Raw genomic sequence first — 15257 nt, 5'->3', positions numbered from 1 at the left:
ACAGAGAAAGCGGTTGTCTCCTTAATATCATCCTTGCTAAGTTCTTTCATCCTCCAAGGACAAAACAGATGGTGAGGAAGAACAGGGAGGACCTTGAGGAACTGGTCTTACTTGGAATGCTGGGGCAGCCGGTCACCGGGTTTGGGATTCTTCCTGTGGAGCGTGGAGCGGCTGTGATCCACCAAGGCAACTAGCGGTGCACGGAGCTGGGCAGGGTGGCCAAGGCCTTGGCCGTTGATGTAGGTGTTCGAGGCACGGATGGCCTGTTGATCTATGTGCAGCTGCTGCGGCTGTGTGTGTTGATGCGTCCCACCCACCAAAGGCCCCAAGCTTCCTCTCCACCTTCTGCTGGCACCGTCTGCAGCCTCTGACAGCATAGATACTCTTCCTGGGGTGGGGGCTTGGGGGGCAGGTGCCCCAGGATGCAGTGATAGAGTTCCAGAGGCTCAGGGCTGGGGTGGGCTGCAGGATGGGGCTGTTCAGGCTGAGCTGTCCTTCTGTCCTTAGCCTGCACCTTTCTTTTTGGCCCCATCATAGACCTTTAAGCGTGCCCCCAGATGGACAGGCTGAAGTCCCCTTGACCCACAGTTTGGCTTTCTATCCCTGCAGCCATGTCCTCATTTTCTGGGGCTGGTCAGCTCCTGGTATGGCTTCAGGACCTGTCCACAAGTCTGCCACCTCACTGTGTGGAGGTGGCTTCAGACCTCTCTGGAAAGTCAAAAATGGAGACGGAGACACTCTTCTGACAGGTTTGGGTGGTCCAAAGGATGAGTTGCTGTGGAGAGGTGGAGGGAGTAAGGGCGGGCCAGTGGGGAGCGGGCACCTGGGCGAGTCTTCCCAGTTTTCACTGCTGTGATTGCTATGAGGATGTGTATGAAGCAGGGTTTGTGACAGGCCAAATCTGCACAGGGCCCACCATCCACAAAGTGCTTGTATGCCTGCATTCTCTTGGTCCTTTTTGAAAACATTGCTAACAGGTCAAAACCCAAAAGCGACCACAGCCATGTCTGACTTCAGGGGTGCAGATGCTGGGTTGGTAGAAGACCCTTCTGTCCCTCTCTGCAGAGTTGAGTAACCTGCCTGCACATGAGGTGGTTGGAGACTTCTTATCTTTTCTTTAGTTTTTAACATAAACTTTATTATTGAAGCATAACATAAATACAGAGAAGAGCACAAATCACGAGTTCAGTGGCTTTTCCAAAATCACATGTGTAACTAGCATCTAATCAAGAAATTGAACTCTACTAGAACACCAGAAGCCCCCTAATGCTTCCACTCAGTCACTCCCCCACCATGCTAACCACTCACCTGACTTCTAATACCTTAGCTTCCTTTCACCAGTTGGGGACTTTATAGGAATAGAATCATCTGATATTACTGAAGGACTTTTAAGAACAGAAATATTGAATACCCAATATTGAGAACTTTGCTTTGGGATGATATCATCATCCTCATACACATAATAAAGCCTGCTGAGCGAACAAATGTCTTTTGCATGTGTTTTTGTTTTGCTTTGTTTTGTTTTGTTTTCCAGATATTAGAGGTGACAATCCGTGGAAAGGAGCCGAGTCTCCCATCTGGGTCAGTGCAGAAACGGAGCAAAGGGAGCTTCTGCAGAATGTGTTTGCAAGTAAGGCACCGCTTGAGCAGATTCAGACACTCCAAGCCAGACGGGAGGGGGAACATTGGGCAGAGCATTGGACTTCCCCTCAGAAGGTAGGACAGGGGCTGAGTCAAATTCATATACTTTCCACTAACAATGGAATTATAAACTAGATAAGCACATTTCACTGGAAAAGATACAAAGAACTAGTCATCCCCATGGACATATGGTCGTCCCTATTTGACATTAACTGGCTGGTTATTCTTGCATGATTTATACCTTCATGAGTCAGATTATGTGATTGAATCAAACGAAGCATGCGTAAGTCTGGAAAAAGAGAGGAAGGGGAGGAGGCTCCAGCCATAGATATCAGAAGAGACCAGAGAATAAATAAAACCCCTTCTGGTATGAGATTGCCATTCTACTCTCTATTGTGAAAAGTTGCTACTGGATGCAGAGACGCTTACAGGGGGCATCGAGAGGGTTTCCAGAACCAGTCTTGGGCAGCTGACAGGCCAAATCTTAAAAGAAAAGTGAACTCCTTTGCCCTCCAATAGCAGCAAAAGCTGAAACCAGAAGGGCACTCAGCTGAGCCTCCCGGGGCAGCAGGGTGGGAAGAAGGAGGACCCAACTCATCAAGAGGACCCTCCCTTTCAACAGTCATCACAGGTAGTATAAGGCAGCTCTGGACAGGATTTCACAGTAGAATCACCACAGGAGCTTACATACTTCACTTTGTTTAGTGTGGTGAAATATATGTGACATAAAACTGACCACTTTTACCACTATTAGGTATACAGTTCATTGGCATTAAATACATCACCATTGCTGTGCAATCATCATCATCGTCCGTCTTCAGAACTCTTCCATCTTCCCAGACTGAAACTCTGTACATTAGGCCACAATTCACTCCCTTCTACTCAGCCCCCTGGCAACCACCAATCTATTTTCTTCCTCTATGAATTTGACTACTCTGGGTACCCTATATAAATGGAATCATACAGTATTTTTCCTTTAGTGTCTGCAGGGGAAGTTTTAAAAGCATGAATGCCCAAGCCCAACCCCAAGCTAATTAAATCAGAATTTCTGGGGGGAAAGCCCAAGTAATTGCTGTTATTTTTAAAAGCTCACCGGTGATTCTAATGGGCACCCATGGGTCAGAAGATCTAAATCAGATTTGCACTCAAGAACCCCTCCCCCATGACAAACACACCTCAGCACCTGCTGGCTGATTCCCCAGATTCCTTTAGCTGTGGGTAAAGCTAAGGGTTCTCCTTCTTCAACTGGAGATGAGAGGCTTAAAATGACGTATTCGGGTATCACAGCGACTGAAACTCATGTGCTAAAGATTAATCTACCAGTCAAGAGGGGTAAGTGATTATTATGAGACACTGTCTCCTTCTGGAAACTGGGAGGGCTCAGAGTAGCAGATGGTAAGTGACTGCTGATTTGGGAGATGGGGAGAGACAGACACACTGGGACCCATGGCCGCTTTTTAGGGAGCAGTGATAAAGGTTAGTCCTATTTACCTTTAGTTACCTTGTGGACACAATAGGATTTGGGAGGAATTTACGACCAGCACATCTGTGGATTTGCCTTGTTCATTGGAATGCGGCCACTCGGACATATGGTTCCCATCAACTGTATTTTTGCATGATTCTTGAATTTCGCCCCCCCCCCAACTTTTTTTCATTTAACTGCACTGACTTCATTACAAAGGAACTTCACTTACATGGGTTCTAATTGAGGCATGACCAGTGCCTTACTCAAGCAAGAGCTCCTTCTGTTCCTTCTTTCTGCAGAATTAGAAATATACAGAGAATGATCAGATAGATAGATGATAGGCAGATAGATAGGTAGGTAGATAAACAGATAAAGAGACAGGCAAATGTATACAAAGTGACAAAATGATAAGAAAGATCCACACCAAATCATGATATTGGTTCTCCCAGTGGAGGAAGGGAGGTATGGGAATGGGATCAGAAGAATTTGAATGTTTTATTTACTTAGTTTTTTAAAACCCTGGAAACAAGCAGGACAAAATGTTAACACTTGTTCTCTCTGAGTTGGCATTTGTTGTGTTATATTCACTCTTTTTACTCGTCTTTGTGCTTTTTGGTATCTTTAACAGTTGTCAGTATTATATATATAGGTATATAAATAATCATACACATAAAGACACATGTATAAAGAAATACTTTGGCCAGGCACTGTGGCTCATGCCTGTAATCTCAGCACTTTGGAAGGCTGAGGCAGACAGATTGTTTTAGCCCAGGAGTTTGAGACCAGCCTGAGCAACATGGTGAAGCCCCATCTGTACAAAATACACAAAAATTTGTAAGGTGTGATGGCACACGCCTGTGGTCCCAGCTACTCCAGACGCTGAGGTGGGAGGATCGCTTGAGTGCAGGAGGTCGAGGCTGCAGTAAGCCATGATTGGGCCACTGCATTCCAGCCTGGGTGACAAAGTAAGATCCTGTCTCAAAAAAAAAAAAAAAAAAAAGTAAAAAGAAAAGAAATACTTTGATGACTGAGAAGAGCTCTTATAAAGAGTTTCATATTAATAATTTTACCATAAAAATAAAATTAATAAAGTTTCAGAACATTTGAAAAATACAAAAAAGCGTAGACAGAAATTGCCACATTTTGGTGTCTTCATATCCTACTTACTTCTCCATGCATTAAATAATTGTGTCATTGATTTCAAGTTTTCACATAGTCCCTAATTACAAAGGTAATACTTATTCATTGCAAAATGCAGAAAAAGATGGATAAGGAAAGATACATTACCCCATTGCCTTATTACCTGGAGTGCCCCACTATGGTTCATCATGGCAAAAAACAAAATCAGATTCTGGCTAGGAAGACAATTACTGAATGTTATGATTTGAATGTGTCCCCTCCAAAATTCAGCTTTTGCCAGTGTGATAGTATTAAGAGATGGGGCCTTTAAGAGGTGACTAGTCCGTGATACTCCTCATGAATGGGATTAAGAATCCTTATAAAGGTGCTTGACAGAAAAACCTGGTTCTCTCTTGCACTTCTGCTTTTCCACCATGTGGGGACATGAGGTTTCTTCCCTTTTGTCCTTCCACCTTCTGCCTGCATCACATGGTAGTGCCTTGATCTTGGACTTCCCAGCCCGAAGAACTCTAAGAAATAAATTTCTGTTCTTTATAAATTACCCAGTCTCAGGCATTCTGTTATAGCAGCACAAAACAGACCAAAACACTGAAAATATTAAAAATAACATATTCCATCAACAGAGGTTATCAGGGTCTTGGCTTTTATTGAGCTCCTCCTTTGTTTTTTATGTGATGGAGTGACTCACACATGCAGTCGGATATGGTATGGCTGGCCTCTAATGCTAATTTAATCTTGGATTAAATGTTACTTTCTTAGACATCGTCTCTGATGGTTCAATCTGAAAGAGCTACTCGCTATTTCAATAGCCTTAATTTAAGTATTTTTTGGCAGGGAGGAGGGAGTTTGCCATTATTATTTATCATTCTCTATCATTTTTTCTTTTTTAATTGTGCATTTATTTGTTTCTTCCCTGTCTTTTTCATTATTGTATCCTCGGGGCCTAGAAAAATGTCTGGAATTTGGAAGTTTTATTATTGAATAAATAAATAAATCAAATATCCTTTAGTGATCATGCCTACTTAGGATTATGGAAGTGTCTTTCTTTAACTACCACTGGACCCAAGCCTAAGAAAACAACCTGGTGAAGCACCTGGATTTCGGCCACACCCCTCTGCCTCCTCTGGATTTCGGCCACACCTCTCTACCTCCTCTGGATTTCAGCCACACCTCTCTACCTCCTCTGGATTTTGGCCACACCTCTCTACCTCCTCTGGATTTCAGCCACACCTCTCTACGTCCTCTGGATTTCAGCCACACCTCTCTACCTCCTCTGGATTTCATCCACGCCTCTCTACCTCCTCTGGATTTCAGTCACGCCTCTCTACCTCCTCTGGATTTCAGCCACACCTCTCTACCTCCTCTGGATTTCATCCACGCCTCTCTACCTCCTCTGGATTTCAGCCACACCCCTCTGTCTCCTCTGGATTTTGGCCACACCTATCTACCTCCTCTGGATTTCATCCACGCCTCTCTACCTCCTCTGGATTTCAGCCACACCCCTCTGTCTCCTCTGGATTTCAGCCACACCTCTCTACCTCCTCTGGATTTCATCCACGCCTCTCTACCTCCTCTGGATTTCAGCCACACCCCTCTGTCTCCTCTGGATTTCAGCCACACCTATCTACCTCCTCTGGATTTCAGCCACACCTCTCTACCTCCTCTGTAGCAGCAATTCTATGTCTCTGTGTTAATGAAAAGTCCTTGCCGCAGCCAGTGGAGAAGAGAGAGAGAAGGGCAGAGAGAGTATTTAAGGAAATAGCTGAAAACATTCCAAATTTGATGAAAGACATGAACATAAATATCTAAGAAGTTCAACAAGTAGGATGAACTTAGAGATCTACATTAAGGTACATCATCATTAAACCATCAAAAGACAAAGACAAAGAGCGACTCTTGAAAGCAGCAAGAGGGAAGCCACTTGTCATATACAAGGGATCCTCAATAAGATTACTAGCAGATTTCTCATCAGAAAGTTTGGAGACCGGAAGGCAGGGGGCTGATATATTCAAAGTGCTAAAAGAAAAAGGAAAGCCTGTCAACCAAGAATGCTACAGCCCCCAATTTTTTTGCCTTTCATGTTTATGAGGCATCTATAGTTCCCTTGGCACGAATAGCCACTTTCTGTCCTTTGTCCATTTTTCTCCTGAGGTGTTTATTTATTTTTTATTTTTTATTATTTTTTAAATGGAGTCTTGCTCTGTCACCTAGGCTGTAGTGCAGTGGCATGATCTCAGCTCACTGCAACTTCTGCCTCCTGGGTTCAAGCAATTCTCCTGCCTCAGCCTCCCAAGTAGCTGAGATAATAGGCACGCACCACCATGCCTGGCTAATTTTTGTATTTTTAGTAGAGACAAGATTTGACCATGTTGGCCATGCTAGTCTCGAATACCTGACCTAGCGGTCTGCCCTCCTTGGCCTCCCAAAGTGCTGGTGTTACAGGTGTGAGCCACGGCACCTGGCCATATTTTTAACTTTTTTCTTTGTAAGTGCTTTCTATGTTGTAAGGAGACTAACACTTTCTTACATATGGGGCACAATTTTATTTTGTTTTTCTTTTGAAAATTTTAAACTGTAATTTTAATCAGTACATGTTTAATTTTTATTAATAAATAACTTACAATTTTTAATATAATTAAATATGTTACTGTTTTTCTTTATGACTCTTGCTTTGGTATCATTCAAAGAAATACTTTAAAAACTTCAGGATCATAGAAATTTAGCAAGGACTGCTAGTAATAACAATAGGAGGGCCGGGCGCAGTGGCTCACGCCTGTAATCCCAACACTTTGGGAGGCCGAGGTGGGGGGATCAAGAGGTCAGGAGGTCGAGACCATCCTGGCTAACACGGTGAAACCCCGTCTCTACTAAAAATACAAAAATTAGCTGGGCACGGTGGCGGGCGTCTGTAGTCCCAGCTACTCAGGAGGCTGAGGCAGGAGAATGGTGTGAACCCAAGAAGCGGAGCTTGCAGTGAGCCAAGATCGTGCCACTGCACTCCAGCCTGGGTGACAGAGCCAGACTCCATCTCAAAAAAAAAAAAAAAAAGCTAAATTATTCATAATCACCATCATTATTCACTATGTATCAGACACTTTATATATAATCCCATTTAATTCTCATAACAAATCTATGAAGTAATTATTATTCCCATTCTACACATCAGGAAGCTGAGACTCAAGAAGACCAAGTAAATTCCCCACAGTCATGATTACGGGGTTGGAAGTGAATGTCAGTAGTTTTGCTGTGCATAAACTTCAGGCTTTGTTGGATGAGCAGACCCGGGTCCACGTCCTGGCTCTGCTGTGCCAGCTGGCAGATGGACCACTTTGTGCATGTCTCTGCACCGCTCTGGACCTTCATTTCACTTGTAAAATTTCACCTAATAACACCTCCCTCATAGAGTTGTTAAATGAGAGAAAAGTATGTACTGTGCCAAGCACTGAGAGAAAAGTCAGCCTGAGAGTCAGCCCTACTCCTCTTTGCTGGAGCTCCTTCACTCTCTTTGTTTCCTCTCTGCAGGGGTAGGGCGCTGTGGCAGAGGGGCTGGTGAAAGAAACGCTGAATCAGCATCTGTGAAACTGACATCTGCAGTGAGGTGCACAGATTGAAATGCTGGGCCTAGCCGATTTAAGTAAGGAGCAGAGCAAGGTGGCTGCAGCGGTCCCACCCTGGAGGACCCTCTTAAAGGCGTCCCACCCTGGGGTGTGGCTCAGGTTTCTGCAACAAGACCTATTCCTTTCTGTGTGTGGGAGGCAGGGGTGGGGCTCGTCAGCATGATCTCTCCGTGGTTCAGAGGCAGCCACTCCTGCCTGTGAGGATGCCGGTCATGTGTGTGTGAGGTTGCTGCTCATCTACCAGCTCTCGCCCCGTTGGCCCCAACACACACACTAAAGCCATGGGCACCCTCGAGGGACACCTGCTGCCAGCAATGTTCTTCCTTCTCTACTCACTCTACTATATGGTGCTGGTGTCTCTGGCCCTGCTACAGGAACAGAGGCTCCTCAAACTCCCTCTGCCCTCCAGGGAGAAGTGAGGACACAGGTGGTGGTAGCTGGTGCCACTAGAAGGTGTGGTGAAGGTGGTCATCACCCTGGCTGGCATCTTACCCAAGTTATTCTACCCGTCTGGAGTAAATCGGCTGATGGTGGTAGACTGGGAGGATCCGCGGTGGCCATTCGTGTTCAAGGACAGCTGGCAGCACATCACCATGTACGAGTTCTTTATGCTCACTGGCGTGGTGGACATTGTAAGCCAGTCGTGTCAGGAATGGTAGAATATGAAGCTAGAGCAAGCAGTCAAGGCCTTGGGCTCCTATGTGCTGGCACTACTGATGGCAGCCCACATTGAGAACAAGGGCACCCTGGAGATCCGTGTGCGTGAGCTCTTCAGCGTGCCCCCCTTCCTGGTCTCCCTGGTGCTCACCATCAAGGTCTGGGTCCCTGACCAGCCCCAGCTCTGGGTGCTCAAGACCTGGGTGGGGCTGGGGCTCAGCAACTGGATGCTGCAGCTGTGTGTGCTGATGTTTGCGCCTCCCTCCGGACAGCCCTGCAGGTGGAGAACCCCATGGACCTTGCCTTCCTCACTCGCTTCTTCTCCTGGCACCTGGGCTTGGGGGCTGCCGTGCTGGCTGCTGTCTATGGCCTCTGCAGCCTCTGGCACCGTCACTGCTCCTCCTGGACAGCGTTACCAGGGGCCAGGTACTAGCCGTGCCTCACCAATTCCAGTGGTGAAGAGCTTGAGAAGCTCAGGGCAGAGGCTGTGCTGCTGGATGGAGGCGTCTAGGTACAGAAACTGTCTTTGTTCTATGCCTTTTGTAATGAGAGTTTCAAGGGTGCCCACAGCACGCATAGCATGGAAATGCCTTAGAATTCACAGGCTAGCTTCTATCTCGGGAGCCATCTTTCTCGTTCCCAAATAAACCTGCCAGCCCCTGGGGTAACTTCTCATCCATCATTCTCTTCTCTCCAGGTCTGTCTCTTTTCTCTCTCATTATTCTGGCCAAGCACATACATGAAATGAGAACAGGAGTGCTGCTTTTTTCTGGCAGTTTTCAGGATCCAAGAGGAGGAAATGAATTGAGGAAGTAGACAGAGAGGAAAGAGCGCCCGTAGACACCATATTTCTTAGATGGGGCAGGACTACGGTATGCACGGGTATGCCTGCAAATGAAGTCTCTCAATGTGTGAAAGACAGGGGGTCCGTTTTTCCATAATGGTGAAGTCTTCTGTTTTCTCAATTTCTCTGTTTTTTATTCACTCTCAGTATGGCAGTATGAGGAATTTTCATGTTTGTTTTTTGTTTGTTTTCGAGATGGAGTCTCACTCTGTCACCCAGGCTGGAGTGCAGTGACTTGGTCTCGGCTCACTGCAACCTCCGTCTCCTAGGTTCAAGCAATTCTCCTGCCTCAGCCTCCTGAGTAGCTGGGACTACAGGCACCCACCACCATGCCCAGCTAATTTTTGCATTTTTAGTAGAGACGGGGTTTCAACACGTTGGCCAGGCTGGTCTCAAACTCCTGACCTCAGGCGATCCTCCCACCTCAGCCTGCCAAAGTGCTGGGATTACAGGCATGAGCCACCGCACCCGGCCATTTTTTGTGTTTTAAACCTAAACTAAATGAGGCCACTTCTGCCTTATGAGAGAGGAAGGAATGAGAAGCTTGGGCAGTTGCAGGGGGGTGTGGTTCCAATCAATTTAGCAGGGGATCAAGAAGAGGGAGAAAGGAGGCCACGGAGGAATTCCAAAGCTGCTTGTCAGAAATGAAGGTGATTTAAATATGATTTTAAATTGTTTGTGTTTTTCTGTGATACAAAACAACTCCATTGTTCCAACTCATTCAGTAAAGTCTATTACATGTGTACACGTCTCATGTGAGTGATTCTGAGGGAAGCCAGAGAAAGAGCCCATATCTCAATTGACAGGAAAAGAACACGGAGGAGGGGGAAAGAATTGCCATGAAATGGGGTGCAAGTGATCTCAGTGCTTCTGAAGACACAGGAACTCAGAGCTGAGAGAGAATCTGAGGGTGTCAGTCCCCTGGAATGTGCAGGAATATTTTCAGATCTTTGGTCTTCTCTCAGAATGGGATGCTAATAAATTCACATATTTGGTGAAATATATGAAAGCAAATTATATAAAATTACATATCTCTGGGTACAGTTAGGAAGCCATTGCTTCTAATAGTATGAGTCAGCTTAAGTGAGATGGACACACCCAGCATTTAGAAATCTGAAGAGGCAAAAAGAAAAGAGATGCTGGCCATAGATGTGGAGAAAGAACCATAGAGAAAAGTCCCCATGATGAAGCTGCTGCAATTACAACACCCCGTGTGCAGCCTGGAATGCTCTCCTCAGACCATGAGAAGCTTCAAGAAGCACAGAGAGGTTTGCAGGATGGCAGACAAGACAGACTGCACACTGTTATTTGAAAATATCATTGGATGCACTCTAAAGAATCGGTGTAGACCAGGCGCAGTGGCTCACACCTATAATCCCAGCACTTTGGGAGGCAGAGGTGGGCAGATCTCTTGAGGTCAGGAGTTTGAGACCAGCCTGGACAATATGGCAAAACCCTGTCTCTAAAAACATACAAAAAAAAAAATAGCCAGGTGTGGTGGCACAGACCTGTGGTCCCAGCTACTCAGGAGGCTGAGGTGGGAGGATCACTTGAGCTTGGGAGGTAGAGGCTGCAGTGAGTCGTAATCATGCCAGTACACTCCAGCCTGGGTGAAAGAGTGAGACCCTGACTCAAAAATAAATAAATAAATAAATAAATAAATAAATAAATAAATAAATGAGAGAGAGAGAGAGAGGAAGGAAAGAAGGGGGGGAGGGAGGGAGGGAGGAAGAAAGAAAAGAAAAGAAGGGACAAGACAATTGGGTGCACTCTAAAGAAGCAGTACACAAGAGCACAGAAAACAGGCCGTGGAGACTCTGGGACAAGGGGTTGATATTAGAGAAGGGGAGAAGGGAAAGGGATAAAGAAGGAGCCAAAAATCTGGCCACTCACACTGGCAGGGCTTGGATGGGAGGGAAGACTCTGGATCTTAGAGGAAAACAAATGTGTCTCTCAAGCAGCTGGAACCAGGCCAGCCCCAACTTTCCTCCCCAGAGGAGGAAGAACCAACCCAGGGAGAGGCCAGCACCTGTCTTTCTCTCCCCACCCCAAAAAGCCCTGAAGCAGAGCCAGATATACCGGAACTAATTAAGTTTAAGCTTCAAGGCCCTTCACCTTACTCATCCTGTCCAAGGCCCTGGGAGAGGCTTTAGCAAGGTGTTCGCATGATCCGCATATCACTGAGAATTTGCAAATGTACTATTTTTGTGTATTCTTTTTTCCTAAAGAGGGTCCTTTAAATTGTGTAAGCATTCGGCCTCACAAAGCCTGGCTCTGCCCTCACCCTGGAGGCTTACCACAGATATACTTCAGGATGCTTTATGATAAACACATCCCTTCACCTGTTCATGGAACATTCTTTGTTAGAGAATCCTTCCTTCTTCAACTTGAAAACAAGATACTTATAACGTTAATGACCTCAAACACTGGCTGAAAATCAACGGCTATAGTATAATCCCTCTGACAAAAAATGTGAATAAGTGTTATATGATCCTAGGTCTGAATTGATAAAGAGGAATTAGAGTTGCAGAAGACTAGAGGGAAAGGTGGGAGTGAGGTAAAGAGGTTAGTCCTGCATACACTCACTTGTGCTGTTGTGGGGAGAATTTTTGTCTGCACATCTGGCCCTTGCCCAGTGTATTAGGGTTTTTCAGAGAAACAAAACCAACAGGATGTGTAGATAGATGAATGGATGAGTAGATAGACAACAGGGATTTTAAGGGGCAGGCTCATGCAATTGCTGGTAGTTAATAGGGATCTTAAGGAACCATCTCATGCGATTGTTGGGGCTGGCAAGTCCAAAATCTGCAGGGCAGGCCAGCGGATGGGAGAACAGTGAAGGGTGATGTTGCAGTCTTGAGTCTGAAGGCAGTCTGGAGGCAGAATCCCTTCTTCCTTAGGAGACCTTATCTTTTCTCTAAGGCCTTCAACTGACTGCATGAGACCCATGCACATTATAGAGGGTAATAGGCTTACTCAAAGTCTACTGATTTAAACATTAATTATAACCCAAAAATACCTTTATGGCAACATCTAGACTGATGTTTCACCAAACAATTGGGTGCCAGAGCCTAGACAAGTTGACACATAAAATTATCCTTCATATCCTGCATATTGGAGTATGACCACTCCGGCATGATTTCCATCAATTGTATTTGTCGTGATTTTTGGAGCCCTTCCATAATAATAATAATAATTCATTTTTACTTATTTATTTATTTTTGAGATGGAGTCTCACTCCATCACCCAGGCTGGAGTGCAGTGGCAAGATCTGGGCTCACCACAACCTCTGCTTCCCGCGTTCAAGCGATTCTCCTGCCTCAGCCTCCTGAGTAGCTGGAATTATAGGCACCCACCACCACACCTGGCTAATTTTTGTATTTTTAGTAGAGATGGGGTTTCACCATGTTGGCCAGGCTGGTCTCAAACTCCTGACCTCAGGTGATCCACCCACGTCAGCCTCCCAAAGTGCTGGGATTACATGTGTGAACCACCGTGCCCGGCCAATAACTTCACTTTAAAGGAACTTAAGGCCAGGCATGGTGGCTCATGCTTGTAATTCCAGCACTATGGGAGGCAGAGGCTTGTAGATCAAGAGGTCAGGAGTTCAAGATCAGCCTGGCCAAGAAGGTAAAATCCCATCTCTACTAAAAATACAAAAAAAAAAAAAAAAAAAAGGCCCAGTGTGGTGGCAGGTGCCTGTAATCCCAGCTACTCGGGAGGCTGAGGCAGAACCCTGGAGGCGGAGGTTGCAGTAAGCCGAGATTGCTGCACTCCAGCCTGGGCAACAGAGCGAGACTCTGTCTCAAAAAAAAAAAAAAAAAAAGGGAATTTAATCACTATAAGTTCTAACTGCAGTTCTGACTGTATAATACTATATGGACCTCTTCCCTTACATATTCTCCCTAGTGCGAGAGAGAGTGCTGGGTGTGCAGGTAAGTGACACTTACTTACTTATTTATTTATTTTTGAGATGGAGTTTCACTCATGTTGCCCAGGCTGGAGTGCAATGGTGCGATCTTGGCTCACCGTAACCTCTGCCTCCTGGGTTCAAGCGATTCTTCTGCCTCAGCCTCCTGAGTAGCTGGGATTACAGGCATGCACCACCATGCCTGGCTAATTTTATATTTTTAGTAGAAATGGGGTTTCTCCATATTGGCCAGACTGGTCCCGACGTCTTGACCTCAGGTGATCTGCCAGCCTCAGCCTCCCAGCATGCTGTAATTACAGGCGTGAGCCACCACGCCCGGCCAGTGACACTTATTTTTAAAGATTAAAAAATAATATTTAGAGGCCAACAGCCTCAACCAGGGCATACATGAAGCCTTTCCCTTTTTTCCACTATAAAGCTTTCCCACTCCTCTACCTGCTTTGGATTCTCTGTCAAAACACAAGTGATGGTGGCCAACTCCCTTGCTATAGCAAGCTCTGAATCAATCGTCTTTGCTTGTTCTCATTTGGTTGATCTTCATTTATTTCCAGCAATTCAATTCTTCCCTTTATTCATCTAAGTAGGTATTCAATATTTATTAAGCATCTATTATATGCCAGACTCCATGCTAGGCCCTGAGAATAATGAAGTGACCCAGATGCTAGGGTCCCTGACTTTAGGCTGATTATAGTCCAGTGGGAGGAGAAAGGCAAATAAACAGTAAGCCGAGCGCAGTATGAAAAGGGCTGTGACGAGGGCCAGCTAACCAGACTTGGAAGTCAGGGAACATATCTGAGAAAAGTGATGTTTCCACAGGGGCCTGAAGCATGAGTATGGCCAGACCAAGTGGAGAAAAACTGGGGGAGAGGGAAAGAAAGGGCCACAAGCAGGTTGCCAGACCACAGAGAGCATGAACATTCAAGGATGTGAACAAAAGCGAGATGGCTGAACTTGGTGTTTGAGCTGGGAGTGGTGCCACGGAAAAGCAGACAAGGGTCAGTGTCCTTCTGGGCCACATGAAGTAACTTTGCACTTATCCTGAAGTAATTATCAAATACCCATTTTGGAATATGGCTTCATGTGGAATGAGGCCAGAAGCAGAGCAAACCTGGAAACTTAGGAACCAGTGTGGAATCTAACAGGTGATGGTGGCCAGATAAGGGGAAAGAGGAAATTGCATGCATTGGAGAGCTGATTTAAATGGCTCCTGACGGGATGTCGGGGCTTGAGACTGGTGGGCTGAACAAGAGGGGGAAGGAGCCACAGGCTGGGCAGCTGGGAGGAAAGTGGACACAATCGCTGAGATCATGAAAACCAGGGCAGGGAGGTGGAGAGCAAGAGATGAATTCTGGATGGAGAGATGCAGTTTGAGGTGTTCTGGAAGCAACTAGATGTATGAGTCTGGAGCTCCAGAGAAAGGGATGGGTAGAGAGGGAAATCCGGGCATCATGCATGAGTGAATGGCCATTAAATCCATGGAGATGGGTTGAGGCCACGAGAGACAGGGTGCAAGGAGGAGGGCTTAGAACTCTGGGAGGCACCCACATATAGTTGGGAAAGGAAAGAGAGGCACTTGGGAGCAGACCAAGAAAAAGCAGCCAGGTGTAGAAGGAAAGCCAGGAACATGTTTTAACGCAGATACTAAAGATTGGCCCTGTTTCAGGACCGGGAGTAGACAGCAAAGGCTCCTTCCTTATTTCTCCCTTCCTCCTTCCTTTCCTACCCTGTGAAGGAAACGCAGATTTGCTCAAGTCTAATGAAACTGGTCCTGCTTTGCCCCATGGTGTTGCCCAAGCTTCATTAACCAAGTGCTGGCCTTGGCACTGTCTGCAGAATACACTGGACTGGACGCCACTGCACTCCAGCCTGGGTGACAGAGTGAGACTGTCACCCAGGCTGAAAGAAAGAAGAAGGGAAAAATGAATGAAAAGAAGAGATGAATGTTCTGAAGACAAGGACTTT

The 15257-nt window shown here is 45.9% G+C and overlaps 1 long non-coding RNA gene and 1 pseudogene across 1 annotated transcript in view; one reads left to right on the top strand and one right to left on the bottom strand.

Annotated features, from left to right (window-relative positions):
• Positions 1-15257, bottom strand: part of LINC01839 (long intergenic non-protein coding RNA 1839) — a 76964-nt gene that overhangs the window by 44349 nt on the left and 17358 nt on the right. Inside the window, exons 3-5 of the long non-coding RNA XR_924788.3 lie at positions 4628-4755; positions 3336-4079; positions 112-1080 (exon numbers count right to left, since the gene is read on the bottom strand). This is a non-coding gene — a long non-coding RNA (long intergenic non-protein coding RNA 1839). The remainder of the gene's footprint in view (positions 1-111; positions 1081-3335; positions 4080-4627; positions 4756-15257) is intronic.
• On the top strand, positions 8242-8933 carry TEDDM3P (transmembrane epididymal protein 3, pseudogene; annotated as a pseudogene).

The sequence above is a fragment of the Homo sapiens genome, chromosome 3 (assembly GCF_000001405.40).
Source record: "Homo sapiens chromosome 3, GRCh38.p14 Primary Assembly".
NCBI classification, from domain to species: Eukaryota; Metazoa; Chordata; class Mammalia; order Primates; family Hominidae; genus Homo; species Homo sapiens.
This window is presented reverse-complemented; position numbering and strand designations above follow the sequence as displayed.